Below are 20,245 nucleotides of genomic sequence, written 5' to 3'. Positions count from 1 at the left end.
AGACACTGAAGAACTACTTTCAAAGAGTCATCTTTTAAAGTTCTGGTGTGCAAGTTTTGTGCAGTGCATAAAGGCATGAATATTTGGTTTCTTTCCCAGCTAAGATCACTCAAATTTCCCTTGGGTACATCATGCTGCCTTCTTATTATTCACTTATCCTTTAAAGTAGGTGACAATTTGGCTTTTGTTATCACCTATATCTCATTTTAAAGTGAAATCAGCCTGAAATTCTTTGCATAAGAGGGCTTAAGAAGTCTATCTGTTAAGATAAAGGGAAGAAAATAATTTATTTCAATCATTAGAAACTTTTGACAGGTGGACAGGCTAATTTTCTTGATTTACAAAGCGCTCATTCAAATGAATTGAAAGGTGAGCAAATCAATAGAAAAATGGGCAAAAGATAAGATCATGCATCTTACAGAGCAAAAGTACAAATGGGCAAGAAGTATGTGAAAGATGATTATAATAAAGGAAATGAATACCAAAACATGATATATCTATCAAATTGGCCAAAAAAAAAAAAAAAGAAAGAAATTGAATGGTGAGTACTGGTGAAAGTATGGAGGAAAAAAGGCTACTGTACCCTTTTGGTGGAAGTGTAACTTTGAATGCTCTCCTGGAGAGTAACTTGTTCTTATCTATAAAAATCTTTTTTTTTTTTTGGAGAACCATCCCAGCAACCCAACCACAGCTGGTTCTCCCTGGAGACCATGAACCACACTGTCCAAACCCTCTTCACTCCTGCCAACACCGGCCGCTCCACCAACCATGAGATGCTCAAGGAGAAGCATGAGGTGGCTGTGCTGGGGGCACCCCACAACCCTGTGCCTCCAGCGTTCACCATGATCCACATCTGCAGTGAGACCTCCGTGCCCGACCATGTCGTCTGGTCCCTATTCAACACCCTCTTCAAGAATTCCTGCTGCCCGGACTTCATAGCATTCATCTACTCTGTGAAGTCTAGGACAGGAAGTCTATGGACAGGAAGATGGTTGGTGACCTGACTGGGGCCCAGGCCTGTGTCTCCACTGCCAAGTGCCTGAACATCTGGGCCCTGGCTCTGGGCATCCTCCTGACCATTCTGCTCATCATCATCTCAGTGCTGATCTTCCAAGTCTCTCGATAGAACAGGAGACAGCATCCGGGCCAGGAGCTCTGCCCACAACCTGTCTCCCATGCACTCCGCCTTCCATTCCTTGCCCTGCCCCCAAAGCTGAGTCCTGTATCAGCCCTTTATCCTCACACACTTTTCTACAATGTCATTCAATAAAGTGCATGTGTTCGTGGTGCAAAAAAATAAAAATAAAAATAAAAATAAAAAAATTAACTTTCTTTAACATATTAGCTGGTACTTTGAATAAAAATCTTAATTGCATATATCCTTTGAAGGAGCAAGCCCATTGTATGAAATTTACTATAGGAATATAGTGATGGAAGTTCACCTAGATCTATGGACATGGACACCAAACTCATTAATTAAAGCATTATTTGTAATGGCAACAAACTAAATGACCAATTCCTATCAGTAGAGATTGGTGAAATAAAGTTAAATCCATCGGTGCAAATACTGGTTCCTAAAAGATACTGTAATGTATGTATATGAAATGATTCTCAATATTTGGTAATAAGTTAAAAAATGAGTGAAGGGGTATATATAGTGTGAGCTCTGTTCTGTGGATTAGGAAAGAAGAAAAATAGATTGAAAATATATGTGAAAACATGTATATGCATGTATATATCTTTTTGAGATAGAGTCTCACTCTGTCACCAGGCTGTAGTGCAGTGGCACAATCTCAGCTCACTGCAAGCTCTGCCTCTGGGGTTCAAGCAATTCTCCTGCCTCAGCTTCCCGAGTAGCTGGGACTACAGGCGCCCGCCACCACGCCCAGCTAATTTTTGTATTTTTAGTAGAGATGGGGTTTCACCTTGTTGGCCAGGATGGTCTCGATCTGTTGACCTCGTGATCCGCCTTCCTCAGCCTCCCAAAGTGCTGGGATTACAGGCATGAGCCACTGCACCAGACCTAAGACTTTGTTAAATAGCAATTTTCTTTGAGGTGAAAGATTAGATGGAAGGGGTCAATGCAGGTGGGGAGAGGTAGCTTGAATTTCTGTTTTGTATGTTCTTGCCCTGTTTAAAGTTAATATTTTCTAGCCAGATACATGTATTTTGTGTTTGTTTGTTTTAAATATTAATAAGGGATATCTTCTCTGTATTTCACTGAATTGAAGAAAAATAATTGAAGGAAGAAAGGAAGGAAGGACAAAAGGAAGAAAAGAAGAAAGGAAAAAGTTTCATGTTGATAAGGGAAAACAAACACACAACTATATCTACAAAGTAAATTTTGAAATCTCCTGTACTAATTTCGTAAAGGCCTTGCACTTTCCAAATCTCCTTTTCATTCTCTGAGTGTGACACAAAATGCCCATGATGTCATGGAATGTACCCTCGGGCATCTGAAGATGCTGTTACATCTGGATTGATTATTCACATCATAATACAGTCAGGGACTATCTTAGTTCATTTGGGCCACTTTAACAAAGTGCCATAGACTGGGTGGCTTATAAACAACAGAAATTCATTTATTACAGTTCCGGAAGCCCAAAATCAGACGCCAGCATTGTTGGGTTCTAGTGAGGGTTTTCTTCTAGGTTGCAACCTGCCATCTTCTCGTATCCTCACATGGCAGAAAGAGAGGGAGAGAGCTCCCTGGAGTCTCCTTTATAAGGGCACTAATCCCATTCATGAGGCTAGAGCCTAAATCACCTCCTAAAGGTTCCACTTCATAATACCATCGTATCAGGGGTTAGGATTTCAATATATAAACTTTTTAGGGGACAGAAACATTCAGTCCATAACAAGGACCTTGGTTGCTGGAAATAGTATTTTAAAAGTCATCACTAGGATTCCCTTCTTTCCCTTGCCCTGACAAGTAATATATCTGGGTATAATTTTTGCTCATACTGTGATATTAAACACAGTTTGAGCTGTGGCTTATTTAATGCACACCAGGATTTTATTAGTGCAAACTCTGAGCAGGTTTCAGTGAGTATGAGATTATCAGGCTTGAACCCACATCTCACACAGTCATTCTTTCAAGTCTCACGGGCATGATGTACCCCCCATCCCTACCTTGCTCCACTCCTATAATTAAACCGAAATCATTATTGCTGACCTGAACATTACATGCCTACTTTTGGTCCAAACATGTATCGATTTTATTTCTGTTTTTTCAGGGCCCTGGACAAGGGATGCCACATCAGAGGATCCATCACATCAAATCCTTCTAGGATAGGGACAGAATTATCTTTAGTCTCTGAGTACAATCCCTACCACAGAAATCATGGACCTTGAAATACTTGGAAAATGTGTTTGCAGACATCATGTTGTCTCTTTTAATTTAGCTTATCAAGGGTTGAATTCCAAATTGTTTTGCACAAATTTACAAATATATGAAAATAAAGGGTCAGGAAATAATGTTTGTTTTCATGATTTAAATTAACTTTGCATCATTTTATGGAACTACATGTAAAGAAAATACAGTCCCCTTTGTAAGAAACAGGGGAAAATTATCTTATATATTGTATTTTGAAGCTTTACATATGAAAAATGTTAAGCATATTAAAGTAGAATAGTATATTGAACTATGTATCAGTGTTATGAGATCACCATTATCACCATTTCCCCCCTTGAATGTACTGTATTTTGAATGATAATCTTTAACAAAAAGACTCTTAACTTTCAAAAATTCCACAGACATTGGCTAGATATTTGTACCAGTTAGATTTTGGTTCTCCTTTCACAGCAATGCTGATATTTAGGGGACATTACTCTCCTGCCTCAGAAGCTCATGGCTTAGGTTTTACTGCAGTACCAGTGCTGCACTTGGGCTGAGTCACATATATAGTATCCCTCCAGTTTTCCTTCTAACTGACAACACAGGTTCTGGGGCATTTGGGTAGGGTTGTGTTTAGTTAGGGTTGTCTGGAAATTGACTTACACATAGTACAATGGCTAAACTGACTTCACTGTCAGATGGAGCCCATTCCTCAGCCTGATGACTTCAAATAAACCATCCTGGGTGAGATGGATTGCTTTCCTGATAATGTAAAGACTGCATTCAAACTTTCAATTATAAACCCAAGTGCAAGCCGTTTAATTCCCCCATAGTATTGGGCCATTTACACAGGGGTATTTGTTGCAGAGGAAAAAATTTTATTAGAACCTTACTTTTAATTTGGATATACTAGATCAAAGCTCCAGATTGCCAAGCTTAAGTACACATGGAAATAAAAATTAATCAATATAATGGTTTTGTGGTGCTATTACTTTTCCCCATAACTGTGTTTATGTACACCCACTTCAGTAAATCAAAGCTCTATCTCAACTGACTTGTTTAGAAGAAGCTCACATGCAAATGAGAGAGTTCACAAAAAGGGACAGGTAATTTACTATGTATTAACATGACTACTGGCAGCCAGTTAGTGTTTTTTTAAAAAACAAAAAGCACTGGGAAAATCACAATGTTTCCACTCGATGCTAATGACTTTCCACGCAAAGTTCATTACTGGCCAGGTCATCTGCCTTTCACTTCAACTTCCCTATTTTTTATGTAAGTATAACTAAATAGAAGTAAAACATGACAGGCTGGGCACGGTGGCTCACGCCTGTAATCCCAGCACTTTGGGAGGTGGAGGTGGGCGGATCACGAGGTCAGGAGATCAAGACCACCCTGGCCAACATGGTGAAACCCCATCTCTACTAAAAATACAAAAATTAGCCGGATGTGGTGGCGCATGCCTGTAATCCCAGCTACTCGGGAGGCTGAGGCAGGGGAATTGCTTGAACCAGGGAGTCGAAGGTTGCAGTGAGACGAGATTGCGCCACTGCACTACAGCCTGGCAGCAGAGTGAGACTCCTTCTCAAAAAAAAAAAAAAGAAGTAAAACATGACAATAGTGTCAGCACAATCAAGATGCAGGATAAAACTGGAAATGATCCATGGAGAAAACCCTTTCCTACCCATGTTGCTCCTTCCAACCTTTCTCCCCTTTCCATTTTGTGCTCTGTGGTGTCAACAGTGAGAATTATCTGGAACAATTCCAGCCACTACTGATGAAGGACAATGGTGTACACACCTGGATGCTCTGCCAGATGAGGAGCTGCAACTTTTTACACATTTATCCTAACAAGTTTTCTATGAAAATAGAACGAATTGAATAATTTTCTGCTTAAGCCATAGATACACTGAGTTTCTGAGAGGAGGCAAAGGTTCTTGTATTGATTAAGGAGGGCGTTTTGGGGGCATTCTGAGGTCAAGGATTGGAGTGGGCGGGTGAAGTATCTTTCCTTAGCCTAAGGAGTGGAATGCCTAGGAGTTTCAGATAGTTTTATTTTCTATGCCAGCAAGTGACAATGGCTTGACATTTTTATTGGATGAATCACCTTTTAAGTAAGTGATAGATATTGGAATGCCTCAAGTGATAGAATAAGGATATGTTTTCTCAATTATAAAAGTAACTCAAATTCATAAATATGATCGAGATATCTTCAGTTTTTAAAAACTGTTTTTGGCGGATGACTGAACATACTGAATATGATTATTATATTAAAATACAAGTATGCACTGACTTAACATTTAAGTAATGTATGTAATTGCTTGACACATCTCAATCATCTTCGTTAATTGTAAATAGCTGATTAATATAACTTTTACTCTGATGTGAGAATAATAATCTGTATCTGTAAACAAAACAAAACATAACAGCACTAATAACATGTATCTTAACCCTTAAGAATGTATAATCTGATCATTGCTATAAAAATGTTCATCCTACTGACCACACACTTCTTTTCTTTTTTTTCTTTAATGCTAAAGTTAATTGTTCTGATAAAGACATGAAATTTTTCTGTTTTATTTTCTAGAGGCAGGATCTTACTTTGTTATCCAGGTTGGAGTAGGGTAGCATAATCACAGCTCACTGCAGCCTTGAATTCCTGAGCTCAAGCAATCCTCCTGCCTTAGCCTCCTAAGTAGCTGGGACTACAGATGTGCACCAACACATCTGGCTAATTGTAAAATTATTTTATTTTATTTTTGTAGGGATGGGATTTCACTATGTTGCCCAGGCTGGTCTCAAACTCCTAACCTTAAGTGATCCTCTTACTTTGGCCTCTCAAAGTGGTGGGATTACAGGTGTGAGCCACCACATTTAGCCTCAAACATATAGTGAAAATCACAATTAAACAATTTTCATTAATAACATCCAAGACACAAAAACAATTGTGATTAAGAATATAATGTTGTGAAATAACCAATTTCAATTTTCCTATCTACCCTACCCTTTTTTTGTTTTACAAAAAATTGTGTAAAATATATTAAGTGACTTTTTATTTTATTGTGTGTATTAACTACTAACCTTTTAAAATAAAGCCTTACCACTTAAAAAAATTAGCCAAACAAAAGTTTTTTGTGTTCCTACAACTCAATGGCTCTCAAACTACTTTTGAACAGTAGCATGTTAACTTCAAGTGAAATTTTATTTTTAAAAAACCCATATATGAAACTGAATAATATGAAAGTGCTCTAGATGAAAAGGGAACAAGGAAGTCAGAGTCTTACCTACTAAGTCTCTTCTTTGGGCAGAACTCAAGACATTTTGCCAAGCACAGTTTGAAAACCACTGCTTTTGCTCATTATAAGAAAATTTTTCTTCATTTGAAGCCATGCAAGTCCAATCAGTGTGTACACTACACTATTGATGGTTGTAATGGACAGATGCCTACTAGGCACACCACTCCCCACTGGGGTCCCTCGGAGTTCCTGCCAGACGCATGGTCTCCTCTCCATCCTTTGTACCTTGTGATTCCGCCACTATAGTCACAGGTGATTGGACTAGGAATGGGCATCTGATTTCAGGAGCTCTCTTTAGACTGCCCAGTGGTATTTATATAACCTGGCATGAGAATCCCACCCAAGGGGGCATGCCACTCTTTTTTTTCTTTAAAAAAATTTTTTTTTTAATTGGCTAGGACTAGGATAAGAGGGGCATGCCATTCTGAAGGGTTGACCTATTACTCTCTGTGGGGAATATTTTTAAAATTTTATTATTTTATTTTATTTTGAGACAGGGTCTCGCTCTGCCACCCAGGCTGGAGTACAGTGGTGTGATTATGGCTCACTGCAACCTCTGCCTCCTGAGCTCAAGCGATCCTCCTACCTCAGCCTCTTAAGTAGCTGGAACCACAGGTAGCTAAGACCACAGGCTCAAGCCACCACACCTGGCTAATTTTTATATTTTTCATGGAGACAGGGTTTCACCATGTTGCCCAGGTTGATCTCAAACTCCTGAGCTCAAGAGATCCACCTGCCTCAGCCTCCCAAAGTGTTGGGATTACAGGTGTTAGCCACTGTGCCCTCCCTTAAGGGAATTTTAACTTGAGATGTACAGATAGGAATATGGCAGGGAAATAGAGTACCAAAGGAAGGCAGAAAGCAGAAGGCTGGTAGGCAAAGAGAATTTGAATTAGTTTGTTAAGGCAGGAACAATGAAAGGAAAGAAGAGAGCAGCTGAGTTTTAATGATAGCAGAGATGGAGAAAGGAGCTGTGGATGCCAGCTTCCCAGTTTCTTTGCCAGACCACCCAGGACTATTTGAAGGAAATTCAGAGATGGCTTTCTGCACTTCCGCACTTTCCCAAGTGTCCTTATAAAAACCTCTACCTTGCTAAGCATTCCCTGTTGTTTTCTGTGCAGAAAAGCCTCACTAACCCCATTGCATGGTTTGTCTAATTTTCCAAACATATAATTCAACTCAGAAGATATCATGTAAAGCCAGCTTTGAACATCAGATTTGTCTGTATCTCAAGACTAGGAATCTCAAATGCATGACAGTTCCTCTTCCAGTTACCACACCTGCATCCTTTGCAGACATCAATAATTAAACATGTTCTTTTATTTTACTGCTGAGACAGAAATCAACTTCAGACATTTTTTTCAAACTGTTCTCTAGACAGCTTGCCAATCTATATTATTGATACAAGAGTTGAAATCTGTTTACCATTTTACTTCAGTAAATATTTGCAATGGGATCTTTCTTTTCTTGCTTAGCAGAATATTTGGGTAGATCTCTGGTTTTCAGCGCTCTCCATGACACCTTAACACTTCAGCTGAGGTACCTCATGGGTTACCTCTAAGGGAAGAGTAAGGCGGCCCAGAGTGAGGCTGAAGAGTTGGAGTCTAGATAAAGAAGGTGCCTTCTCCATTTTTTGTTCCTCAAACACTTTTAAATAGATAAGACACTTTTATCTGTTGTATGTATTTAAGTTCCTAGTAAAATTTTATTTGAGGAATCATTTCTACAACTGAAAAAAAAAGTTAAGTTGAAATCACCAAATTGCCATAATCAGCCCTTGAACCACAGTGCTCATACCACTATATTATTTCATAAATTTGACCTGACTCAAATTGGCATAATCAGCCAACAATTTCGTTTTTTTATTTACAGATCTAAATTTACAGAATAACTTTTCTAAGTATTGTTTTTGTGTTGCTTTATTAATGAAGGATGCAACCATGCATCAATGATTCCAAGATCTATCAGAAGACATGACAGCACTGTTCTCCTACAAAACTGTAATGAAGCATAAAGCGGTATCATAATGCAAAAATGAATGTGCACTCTCAACAGTTGAAACATATAGACAGGAAATCAGTGAGTATATCGAAGACTTGAACAACACTATCAATCAATTTGACCTGACTGGAACTTATGGAACACTCCATCCAACAACAGCAGAATTCCCATTCCTTTCAGATACACATGGAACATTTACCATGATAGGCAACATTCTAAGCCATAAAACATATCTAAATAAATGTTAAAGAATTTAAGTTTTATAAAGTATACTATTTTACCAAAATCGAATTAAATTAGAAATAAAAAGCAGAGGCCGGGTGTGGTGGCTCACACCTGTAATCCTAGCACTTTGGGAGGTCTAGGTGGGCAGATCACGAGGTCAGGAGATCGAGACCATCCTGGCTAACACGGTGAGACCCTGTTTCTACTAAAAAATACAAAAAATTAACCGGGTGGCACATGCCTGTAGTCCCAGCTACTCGGGAGGGTGAGGCAGGAGAATCGCTTGAACCTGGGAGGCAGAGGTTGCACTGAGCCAAGATCGTACTGCTGCACTCCAGCCTGGGCTACAAAGCGAGACTTCTTCTCAAAAAAAAAAAAAAAAAGAAATAAAAAACAGAAAGATAGCTAGAAAGTTCTCAAGTATTTGGAAACTAAATAACACACTCTAAACATCCCCTGGGTAATAGAAGAAATCAAACGGAAATTATAAAAGATTTCAATCTGTATGTAAATGTAAACAAAATATTATAAAATATTTCAGTCTGAATGTAAATGTGTATCAAAATTTATGGGATGCAGCTGATGCAGTTCATAAAGGACAGTTTATAGTGCTAAAATGACTACATTCAAAAAGAAGAAGGATCTGAAGTCAATGACTTTAGCTTCCACCTCAAGTATTAGAAAATAAAGAGCAAATATAACCCCAAATCAGCAGAAGAAATGAAATAATAAAGATCAGAGTGAGTATGCGTGAAACAGAAAACTGAAAAACAACAGAGAAAATAAATGAAACAAAAAACAGATTCTTTGAGAAAAATCAACTACATTGAATAAACCTCTAGCCAAAACAACGAAAAAGAAGAGTGAGAGAAGAAACAAGTGACCAACATCAGGAATGGAAAAGCTAACAGCACTATGGACTCAACAGAGTGTAAAAAGAATAATTAGGGAATATTATGAAGAATTTTATGCAAATAAATTTGACAACTTAGATGACATAGATGAATTCCTTGAAAGACACAGACTATGAAAGCTAATTTAAGAAGAAATAAACAACCTAAATAATTCTATATCAATTAAATAATTTGAAATTGAAATTAAAACTTTTCCACAAAGAAAATTCCAGGCTCAGATGGCTTCTTTGGTAAATCTGACCAAATATTTAAGGAAGAAATAATACTAATTTTACAAAAGTTTGCAGAGGAATTACTGGGGAATAAATACTTCCCAACTCATAGCAGGCCAGCGTTATGTTGATACCAAAACCAAAGATGTTGTAAGAAAAGAAATGTACACACCAATATCCCTCATGAAACTTAATGCAGAAGTGCTTAACAAAAGTTTAGCAAATTGCATGTGACATTACATAAATAGGATAATAGTTCATAACAAGTGGGTTTACTCCAGGAATACAAGGTAGTTTTAACAATAGAAAACCATCAATATAATTCATATTAACAGACTAAAATGAAAAACATGTGATCATCTCAATAGATACAAAGAAAGCATTTGGCAAAATCCTACATGCATTCCTTATAAAAACTCACATTAAGCTAGGAATAGACGGGAAAGTCCTCAACCTGAAAAAAAATTTTTTTTCTTTACAGAAAAGCCTTACAGTTATCATCATACCTAATGACGAAAGGCAGACTGAATGTTTTCTTTGTAAGATTGACAAGGCAAGACAGTTCACTCTTACCACTTCTATTGAACATTATACTAGAGTATCAAGCAATGCAATAAGAAAAAAATGTGATTTTTGAAAGAAATTTTTGAAATGATTGGAAAGGAAGAAATAAAATTGAGTTTATTTCTAGATATCTTTATATGTAGAAAATCCTATGAAACATTTTAAAAAACGATTTGAACTAGTAAATGAGTTAAGCAAAATTGTGGGATACAAGAACAAAATGTAAACTCAATTGTATTTCTATGCACTGGCAGTGAACAATCAGAAATTAAAATTAAAAACATAATTCCCTTTATAATAGCATCAAAATACAAAATACTTAGGAACGAATCTGACAAAAGCTGTCCAAGGCTTGTACACTGAAAACTACAAAACACTGCTTAGAAAAGTTAAAGATCTAAATAAGTGTAAAGATATACCACGTTTATGGTTCAGAAGATTCAGTACTATTAAGATGTCTATTATCCTCAAATTGATGTATAGATTGAACACAATCTCAATCATGTACCCAGCAGACCTCTTGTCAAAATCGACAAGCTAATCATAAACTTCATACGAAAATTCAAAAGACCTAAAGTAGTCAAGAAATGCAAAAGAACAAAAGTGGAGGGCTAATACCACCTGATATTAAGACGTATTAAAAAGCAACAGTAGTCAAAATAGTACGGTATTGCCATCAGATAGGCAAATAAATCAATAGAACAGAATAGCAAGACCAGAAAGTCTGGATCTCCACACATATATGGTCAATTGATTTTTGCAGGGGTACAAAGGGAATTTACTAGAGAAAGGGCAGTTTTTTCAACAAATGGTAATGGAACAATTTGCAATCAATACACAAACAAAAAATGACTCTCCATACCTTGGGCAGTGTAAGAAAATTAACACAAAATGAATCATTGACCAAAATGTAAAACAAAGGGCTAAAAAATTTCTAAAAGAAAACATGGGAGAAATCCTTTATGAACTTGAGTTAGGCAAAGATTTCTCAGGTTTGACACCAAAAATACCCTCCACACAACAAAACTTGGTATGTTGGACTTCACCAAAATTAAGAATATCTGCTATTTAGAAAGCACTGTTCAGAGACTGAAAATTCAAGCACAGATTGGGAGAGAATATTTGCTCATCACTTACCTGTTAAGAACCTGTATTGAGAATATATAAAGAACTCCCACAACTCTATCATACAAACCCATTCAATTTTTTAAAAAAGGGAAACAGATTTGGACAGCCACATCACCAAAGATAAATACAGATGGCAAATAAGGACATGACAGTTTGCTTATAATCATTAGTAAAATGCAAATTAAAAACACAATATGATATTACCACACTCTATTTAGAATGCCTAAATTTAAAGACTGATCATAACAAGTGCTGGTTAGCATGTTGAGCAACTGGAATGCTCATATACTGCTGATTCATTTCTTAAAAAGTCATACAACTCTCACATGACCCAGCCATTCCACTCGTACTTATCTTCCCCAGAGAAATAAAAGCAGGATACAAGAACAAAGTGTAAACTCAATTGTATACAAAAAAAAAAAAACCTCATGTATATACAAAGACTTACAGATGAATGTTTATAGGAACTTTATTTGTAATAGCAAAAAAACAGAAAAACACAAATGCTTGTCAACAGGTGAATGAATAAACACATTTTGGTATATCCATGCAATGGAATAGTGTTCAGCAATAAAAAGGAGTAACTATTGATACATAAAACAACATGCATGAATCTTAAAGTAATTATGCTGAGTGAAAAAACTAGACAAAAGAGTACATATTATATGATTCCATTATGTAAAATTATAAAAAATTAAAACTAATCTATAGTGGTAAAAAGCAGTTAATGATTTCCTAGAGATGAGGGTGAAAAGCAAGGAGGGACTGTTAGGGACATGAGAGAACTTTTTGGGATGTTAGATATGTTCATTATTGTGATTGTAGTGTTAGCCTTGTGGGCAGTATACATGTGTGAAAACTTGTCAAGTTAGATATTTTATGTGCAGTTGATTGTATGTCAATTATACATCAATGAAGTTGTTAAAAATGTAAGTACAAAGATGTTCATTGCACTGTTTTTATAGTAGCCCAAAATAGGAACAACAAAATTTCTAAAAATAGGGAGTGGATAAATAAACAATGATGCATTCATAAAATATCAAGTAGCCACTAAAGTGTTTTCAGAGGATACTTAATAACATGAGAGAAAGGCCAAGTTACAACGAAAATTTGAATGAAAGAGAGAATTCAAAATTGTAGATAAGCATGATACTGATTTTGTAAAATGAAAGTATAATAGATACAAAAAGAGAAGAAAGAAGTTACTTAAGGCTTGTGATGCCCTGGCTCTATCATCTGTGTTTAGAACACTCATTGTAACAAATATGCATATTCAACTTTTGTTCTTGCCTTCTTATATCCACTGAGTTTTTACTTGAATATAAAATACATTAAGGGAAAAGAAACTGTTATTAATTTTTTTTGATATACTGGTGGCCTTACTATAGAATTTTGGTACATTGTTTTGTTGATTCTATGAAACTGTGTATATCTTAACCATATATCAAATTTTTAAAGGGAAATGTTTGTGCAATCTCTATTCTCTATAGATAATTGATGTCATAAAAAAATTAAGCACCTTTGTTTGAACTCTGCATGGATAAAATACAACTATGCTTGGGTAGAGTTGGAGTTATATGAGGCTATGTTCACACACTGGCTAGAAGGAGCAATTAGAGCTCAAGTAATGTCTGTTATATCTTACAAAACAATTTTTAGTGTTCGGTAACATGAAAGCACTTTTTTACCTAACAAAAGTTGTTAAGAAAGGTTTTTTGACCACTAGCTGTAACTGAATGCGGATCTCTTCAATGTGACTGCTATCAAAGACATTACCTTGTTTTGTGGAAAACTAACAATCTCCTTATTTTGTCTCAACTGTGACATAACCATGTAATTATGCTAGAAAGTAGGATTTCTACATAAGGCAGATGACAAATAATTCTTCGTTCTAACCTAAAAGGCTTATTTTCTGCATTCTGCTTCTTACCCTATGGTACGCTTCCCATGAAACTCAGATATCTCCACTACAATGAGAAAGTAGCAAAAGAAAATGAGCTGATGGTTTTTGTTTTTGATTTAGAGGATTATAATCTCCAGGAGGTCAGTGACATTCTTTAGTGAGTTCTCTAAAACAGATAGGACATTGCAGAGTGCTTAATAAATCTAATCATTGAACAGATTTTTGACAAGATTTGCATTGTACAGCCAAGCTCTGCACATGAGAGCAAGACAGACTTGTAAATCACCTATCATCAGTGCCAAGGTTTGTATCCATCTTCAAATTCTTATTTTCCAGATTTGAAAGACTCAACTATAGCCTACAGAAAAGATGCTCAATGCCTTAGGAAAATGTTTATTTTTTAAAAAAGAATGATACTGGCTAAGAGTAAAGAGTTGAAAGGAGAAAGCCTCCATTACTCTAGTTTTCCATACTAAATATCTTGACTAAAAGATTAAGCAGCTGCAAGATGTTTAATGATTTTCTATTACTGAGGACATAAGGAAGACATTTATTTTTCACACATAACAAAATATAGTTTGAGCAATTATGATGTAAGTCACATCCAGACAATGTGAAATGTAAAGTTCTGGATCAAGGGAGTATATGGATCCAGTTGGCTTTCTGCCCATCAGGGAGACACATTGGCTGCAATTACAAATGAAGCAAATTTTCTGTGGTGTAAACCTGTATGTCAGTGGTAAATCTGCTGTGGTGCTTAAAAAAGGCCAGAGTGAATCACTAGATTGTATACACATTCTCCAACAATATGTGTAATTAGGCCAAGAGATGAACGCCTAATTTAAAATAACAATGGCAAACATTTAGAGTGATTACTGTGTATTAAATGTCCATTTTATTATTTCAATTAATGTTTTTTATAACTTCATGAGGACCAAACTATAATTATACCCATTTTAGAGAAAAAAAAAGGGAAGTTCAGAGCATCTTTTTTTTTTTTTTTTTGAGATGGAGTCTCGCTCTGTCACCCAGACTGGAGTGCAGTGGCATGATTTCAGCTCACTGCAACCTCCCTAGGTTTAAGCGATTCTCCTGCCTCAGCCTCCCGAGTAGCTGGGATTACAGGCGCCCACCACCATACCCGGCTAATTTTTGTATTTTTAGTAGAGACGGGGTTTCACCATGTTAGCCAGGCTGGTCTCGAACTGCTGACCTCAAGTGATCTGCCCACCTTGCCTTCCAAAGTGTTGGGATTACAGGCGTGAGCTCCACCACACCCGGCTCAGAGCATCTTTTATCACTTATTTTGACAGAGACAGGAAAGAAGCTTAAGTCCATGGTGCTCTTAATTACTTCTCTACTACTCCCATCAGCAGGAACTTCCTAAGGCAGAGCAGCCAACTTAAGTCAACATCTAGAAAATTCTCTTTGGACATTTAATTAGATTAAATTATTGTTCTACTAAAAAATGTATTAGAACATGTAAAACATGCATTCTTATTTCTACGTATTGGAGAAAAATGGCAAAGGAGATTTCTTTAAAAAAAGAAAGCCTCCAACATTTTAAATTAATTAAAATACTCAGTTTGCTTTGGGCTTCATTTTAGTTTTCATTTTTTTAAGATCTGAAGTGGTTTGGTTTTGAATGAGTCAGTGTTTTCAGAGCAGATTCTCTCCTTCAGGGCAATGAGTACCCACTAACGATTCATAACTTTGTAGCCATGAAAGGAACCATGCAAAAACAAGTGAGAAGCCCCTGCCTTCTGCCAAAGTCTCATTTATAAACCGTCGCCTACAATGTATCACCGGGATTGTTTCTTTCCTTGTGTTTAAAGAATAAGATTTTTTCACTCATTTTTAATGCTTTATGGAGAAATAATTCACATAACATACACTTTATCCATTTAAAATGTACAATTCAATGGTTTTTAGTATTTTCATAGACATGTGGAACCATCACCACAATTTTAGAACATTTTTCATCACCTCTGAAAGCAGCCACATACCCTTTAGCTATGTCCCTTTTCTATACCGCCATTTTTTCCACCCCTAGGCAGCCACGAATCTACCTTCTGTCTTTATAGATTTTCCTGTTAAGAACATTTCACATAAATTGAATCATATAATGTGTGATCTTTTATGACTGGCTTCTTCCACTTAGCATAATGTTTTCAAGCTTCATCCACGTTGTAGCATGTATTGTACTTCATTATTATTATTATTATTTTTTGAGATGGAATTTCACTCTGTCACCCAGACTGAAAGGCAGTGACATGATCTCAGCTCACTGCAACCTCTGCCTCCCGGGTTCAAGTGATTCTCCTGCCTCAGCCTCTCGAGTAGCTGGAATTACAGGTACTGACCACCATGCCTAGCTAATTTTTGTATTTTTAGTAGAAACGGGATTTCATCATGTTGGCCTGGCTGGTCTTGAACTCCTGACCCCAGGTGATCCTCCCACCTCAGCCTCCCAAAGTGCTGGGATTACAGGCATGAGCCACTGCGTCTGGCCTGTACTGCATTCTTTTTTATGGCCATAACATATTCCACTATGTAGATATGCCTCATTTTCTTAATCCATTCATCAGTTGATGGACATTTGAGTTGTTTCCACCTTTTTTTCTATTATAAATAATACTGCTATAATCATTTGCATACAAAATTTTGTGTGGGCAAATGCTTTCACTTCTCTTGAGTATATACCTAGAAGTAGAATTGCTGGACCATATGGTTACTCCTTGTTTAACTGCTTGAAAAACAGACTATTTTCCAAAGTGGCTGCATCATTTTACATTTCCACTAGCAGCACAGGAGGATTCCAATTTCTCCACACCCTTGTCAACATTTGTTATCTGAATTTTTGTTTTTAGCTATCTTAGTGGGTGTGAAGTGGTATCTCATTGTAGCTTTCATTTGCATTTCTCTGATGACTAATAACGTTGAGCATCTTTTCATGTACTTATTGACCATTTGTGTATCTTCCTTGGAGAAATATCTATGAATATCATTTTTCTATTTTTTAATTGGGCAATTAATCATTTTATTATTATTATTATTATTATTATGGAGACAGAGTCTCACTCTGTCCCCCAGGCTGGAGTGCAGTGGTGTGATCTTGGTTCATGTAACCTCCGCCCCCTGGGTTCAAACAATTCTCATGCCTCAGCCTCCCCCAAGTAGCTGGGATTACAGGCACCTGCCACCATGCCTGGCTAATTTTTGTATTTTTAGTGGAGATGGGGTTTTCCCATATTGACCAGGCTGACCTCAGATGATCCACACGCCTCAACCTCCCAAAGTGCTGGGATTATAGGTGTGAGCCACCACGCCCGGCCTAATCTTTTTATTATTGAGGTGTAGGAGTTCATATATATTCTGGACATAAGTCTCTTGCCAGATTGCAAACACTGTCTCCCATTTTATGAGTTGTCTTTTCACTTCCCTGATAGTGTTTTTTGAAGCACAAAAGTTTTTAATAGTTTTCTTTCTTTCTTTTTTTTAAGAGATGCAGTTTCACTATGTTGTCCAGGCTGGTCTTGAACTTCTGAGCTCAAGCAATCCTCTCATCTCCCTATAATCCCAATACTTTGGGATTATAGGTGTGAGCCACCATGCCCAGTCAAAAAGCTTTTAGTTTTGATGAAGTCCAATTTATCTATTTTTTCTTTTGTTGCTTGTTGTCATACCTAACAAATTATTACCAAATCTAAGGTCACAAGTATTTACGACTCTGTTTTCTTCTAGGAATTTTGTAGTTTTAGCTCTTAAGTTTAGGCCTTTGATCTATTTAGGATTAATTTTTATATTTGGTGTGAGGTAAATATATTTATTTATTTTATTCTTTTGCATGTGGTTATGCAGTTGTCCCAGCACTATTTGTTGAAAAGACTATTCTTCCCTCATTGAACGTTTTTGCATCACTGTTGAAAATCAGCTGGCTATAGGCATGTGGATTTATTTCTAGACTCTCAATTCTATTCCACTGATCTATATGACTATCCTTATGCCAGTACCAATACAGTTGTTTTGTAAAAATAAGGTTTTAAAAACACTCATGATTGTGAACTCCTATTCACAATTGCTTCAAAGAGAATAAAATACCTAGGAATCTAACTTACAAGGGATGTGAAGGACCTCTTCAAGGACAACTACAAACCACTGCTCAAGGAAATAAAAGAGGACACAAACAAATGGAAGAACATTCCATGCTCACGGATAGGAAGAATCAATATCGTGAAAATGGCCATACTGCCCAAGGTAATTTATAGATTCAATGCCATCCCCATCAAGCTACCAATGACTTTCTTCACAGAATTGGAAAAAACTAATTTAAAGTTCATATGGAACCAAAAAAGAGCCCACATTCCCAAGACAATCCTAAGCCAAAAGAACAAAGCTGGGGGCATCATGCTACCTGACTTCAAACTATACTACAAGGTTACAGTAACCAAAACAACATGGTACTGGTGCCAAAACAGAGATATAGACCAATGGAACAGAACAGAGCCCTCAGAAATAATACCACACATCTACAACCATCTGATCTTTGACAAACCTGACAAAAACAAGCAATGGGGAAAGGATTCCTTATTTAATAAATGGTGCTGGGAAAACTGGCTAGCCATATGTAGAAAGCTGAAACTAGATCCCTTCCTTACATCTTATACAAAAATTAGTTCAAGATGGATTAAAGACTTACATGTTAGACTTATAACCATAAAAACCCTACAAGAAAACCTAGGCAATACCATTCAGGACATAGGCATGGGCAAGGACTTCATGTCTATAACACCAAAAGCAATGGCAACAAAAGCCAAAATTGACAAATGGGATCTAATTAAACTAAAGAGCTTCTGCACAGCAAAAGAAATTACCATCAGAGTGAACAGGCAATTTACAGAATGGGAGAAAATTTTTGCAATCTACAAATGGCTAATATCCAGAATGTACAAAGAACTTAAACAAATTTACAACAAAAAATCAAACAACCCCATCAAAAAGTGGGCAAAGGATATGAACAGACACTTCTCAAAAGAAGACATTTATGCAGCCAACAGACACATGAAAAAAATGCTCATCATCACAAGCCATCAGAGAAATGCAAATCAAAACCACAATGAGATACCATCTCACACCAGTTAGAATGGTGATCATTAAAAAGTCAGGAAACAACAGGTGCTGGAGAGGATGTGGAGAAATAGGAACACTTTTACACTGTTGGTGGGACTATAAGCTAGTTCAATCATTGTGGAAGACAGTGTGGCGATTCCTCAAGGATCTAGAACTAGAAATGCCATTTGACCCAGCCATCCCATTACTGGGTATATACCCAAAGGATTATAAATCATGCTGCTATAAAGACACATGCACACGTATGTTTATTGCGGCACTATTCACAATAGCAAAGACTTGGAACCAACCCAAATGTCCAACAATGATAGACTGGATTAAGAAAATGTGGCACATATACACCATGGAATACTATGCAGCCATAAAGAAGGATGAGTTCATGTCCTTTGTAGGGACATGGATGAAGCTGGAAACCAACATTCTGAGCAAACTGTCGCATGGACAGAAAACCAAACACTGCATGTTCTCACTCATAGGTGGGAATTGAACAATGAGAACACTTGGACACAGGATGGGGAACATCACACACTGGGGCCTGTCATGGGGTGGAGGTAGGGGGGAGGGATAGCATTAGGAGATACACCTAATGTAAATGACGAGTTAATGGGTGCAGCACACCAACATGGCACATGTATACATATGTAACAAACCTGCACATTGTGCACATGTACCCTAGAACTTAAAGTATAATAAAAAAAATGAATGAAGTACTGCTACATGTTACAACAGGGATGAACCTTGAAAACATTATGCTGGCCAGGCACAGTGACGCCTTTCTGTAATCCCAGCATTCTGGGAGTCCATGGTGGGAGGATCACTTCAGCCCAGGAGCTCAAGATCAGCTCAAACAGTCCTCCCATCTCAGCCTCCCAAGTAGCTAGGACTACAGGCATGCACCACCATATCTGGTTAATTTATCAATGTTTCTTTCTGAGGTGATGAAAATATTCCCAAATTGACTGTGACAATGGCTGTACCTATTTGTGAATATACTAAAAACCATTGAATTGTGCATTTTAAGTGAGTAAATTGTTGATATATGAATTATGTCTCAGTAAAGCTGTTTTTAAAAAGTGCTAAAATATAAAGCTTTTTCCTTTCTTCTGAAATCTTCCTAGACTTGCAGTGGTATTTTTTATTTGCTACTTAATGTTGTTCTGAATAAAGAAAAAATTAAATTTAAAAAACACTCATGATTAACACAGTCCAGGATCTCACAACTTTGACATTTTCAATAAATGAATAATTAATATTTAGATTGGCAAATAATTTGGCTCAAATGATCTAACTACCTATTAAAACCTTATACTATACTAGTAATGAATTATTATAAAGTTGGGACAAAATGTATATGACAAAGACTCATTTTCTTATCTGATGGTGTTTTTTGAAAATTAACATCTCAAAATAAAATGTTCAATTTTGTGACTAGAAAAAAACTCTATGCCAATCTATTTTTTTCAGCAGATCAAAAAACAGACCTTCACTCTTTCCATAATAAAAATGTCACCTTTCCCATACTGTGACCTAGAAAG

General features: G+C 36.8%; 1 protein-coding gene and 1 pseudogene across 16 annotated transcripts in view; one reads left to right on the top strand and one right to left on the bottom strand.

The window, feature by feature from the left end:
• The window catches only part of PCED1B (PC-esterase domain containing 1B), a 157,040-nt gene that overhangs the window by 100,049 nt on the left and 36,746 nt on the right, over window positions 1-20,245 (bottom strand). The window lies entirely within an intron of this gene.
• On the top strand, window positions 664-1,288 carry IFITM3P6 (IFITM3P pseudogene 6; annotated as a pseudogene).

This window comes from Homo sapiens, chromosome 12 (genome assembly GCF_000001405.40).
Source record: "Homo sapiens chromosome 12, GRCh38.p14 Primary Assembly".
Taxonomy (NCBI): Eukaryota; Metazoa; Chordata; class Mammalia; order Primates; family Hominidae; genus Homo; species Homo sapiens.
This window is presented reverse-complemented; position numbering and strand designations above follow the sequence as displayed.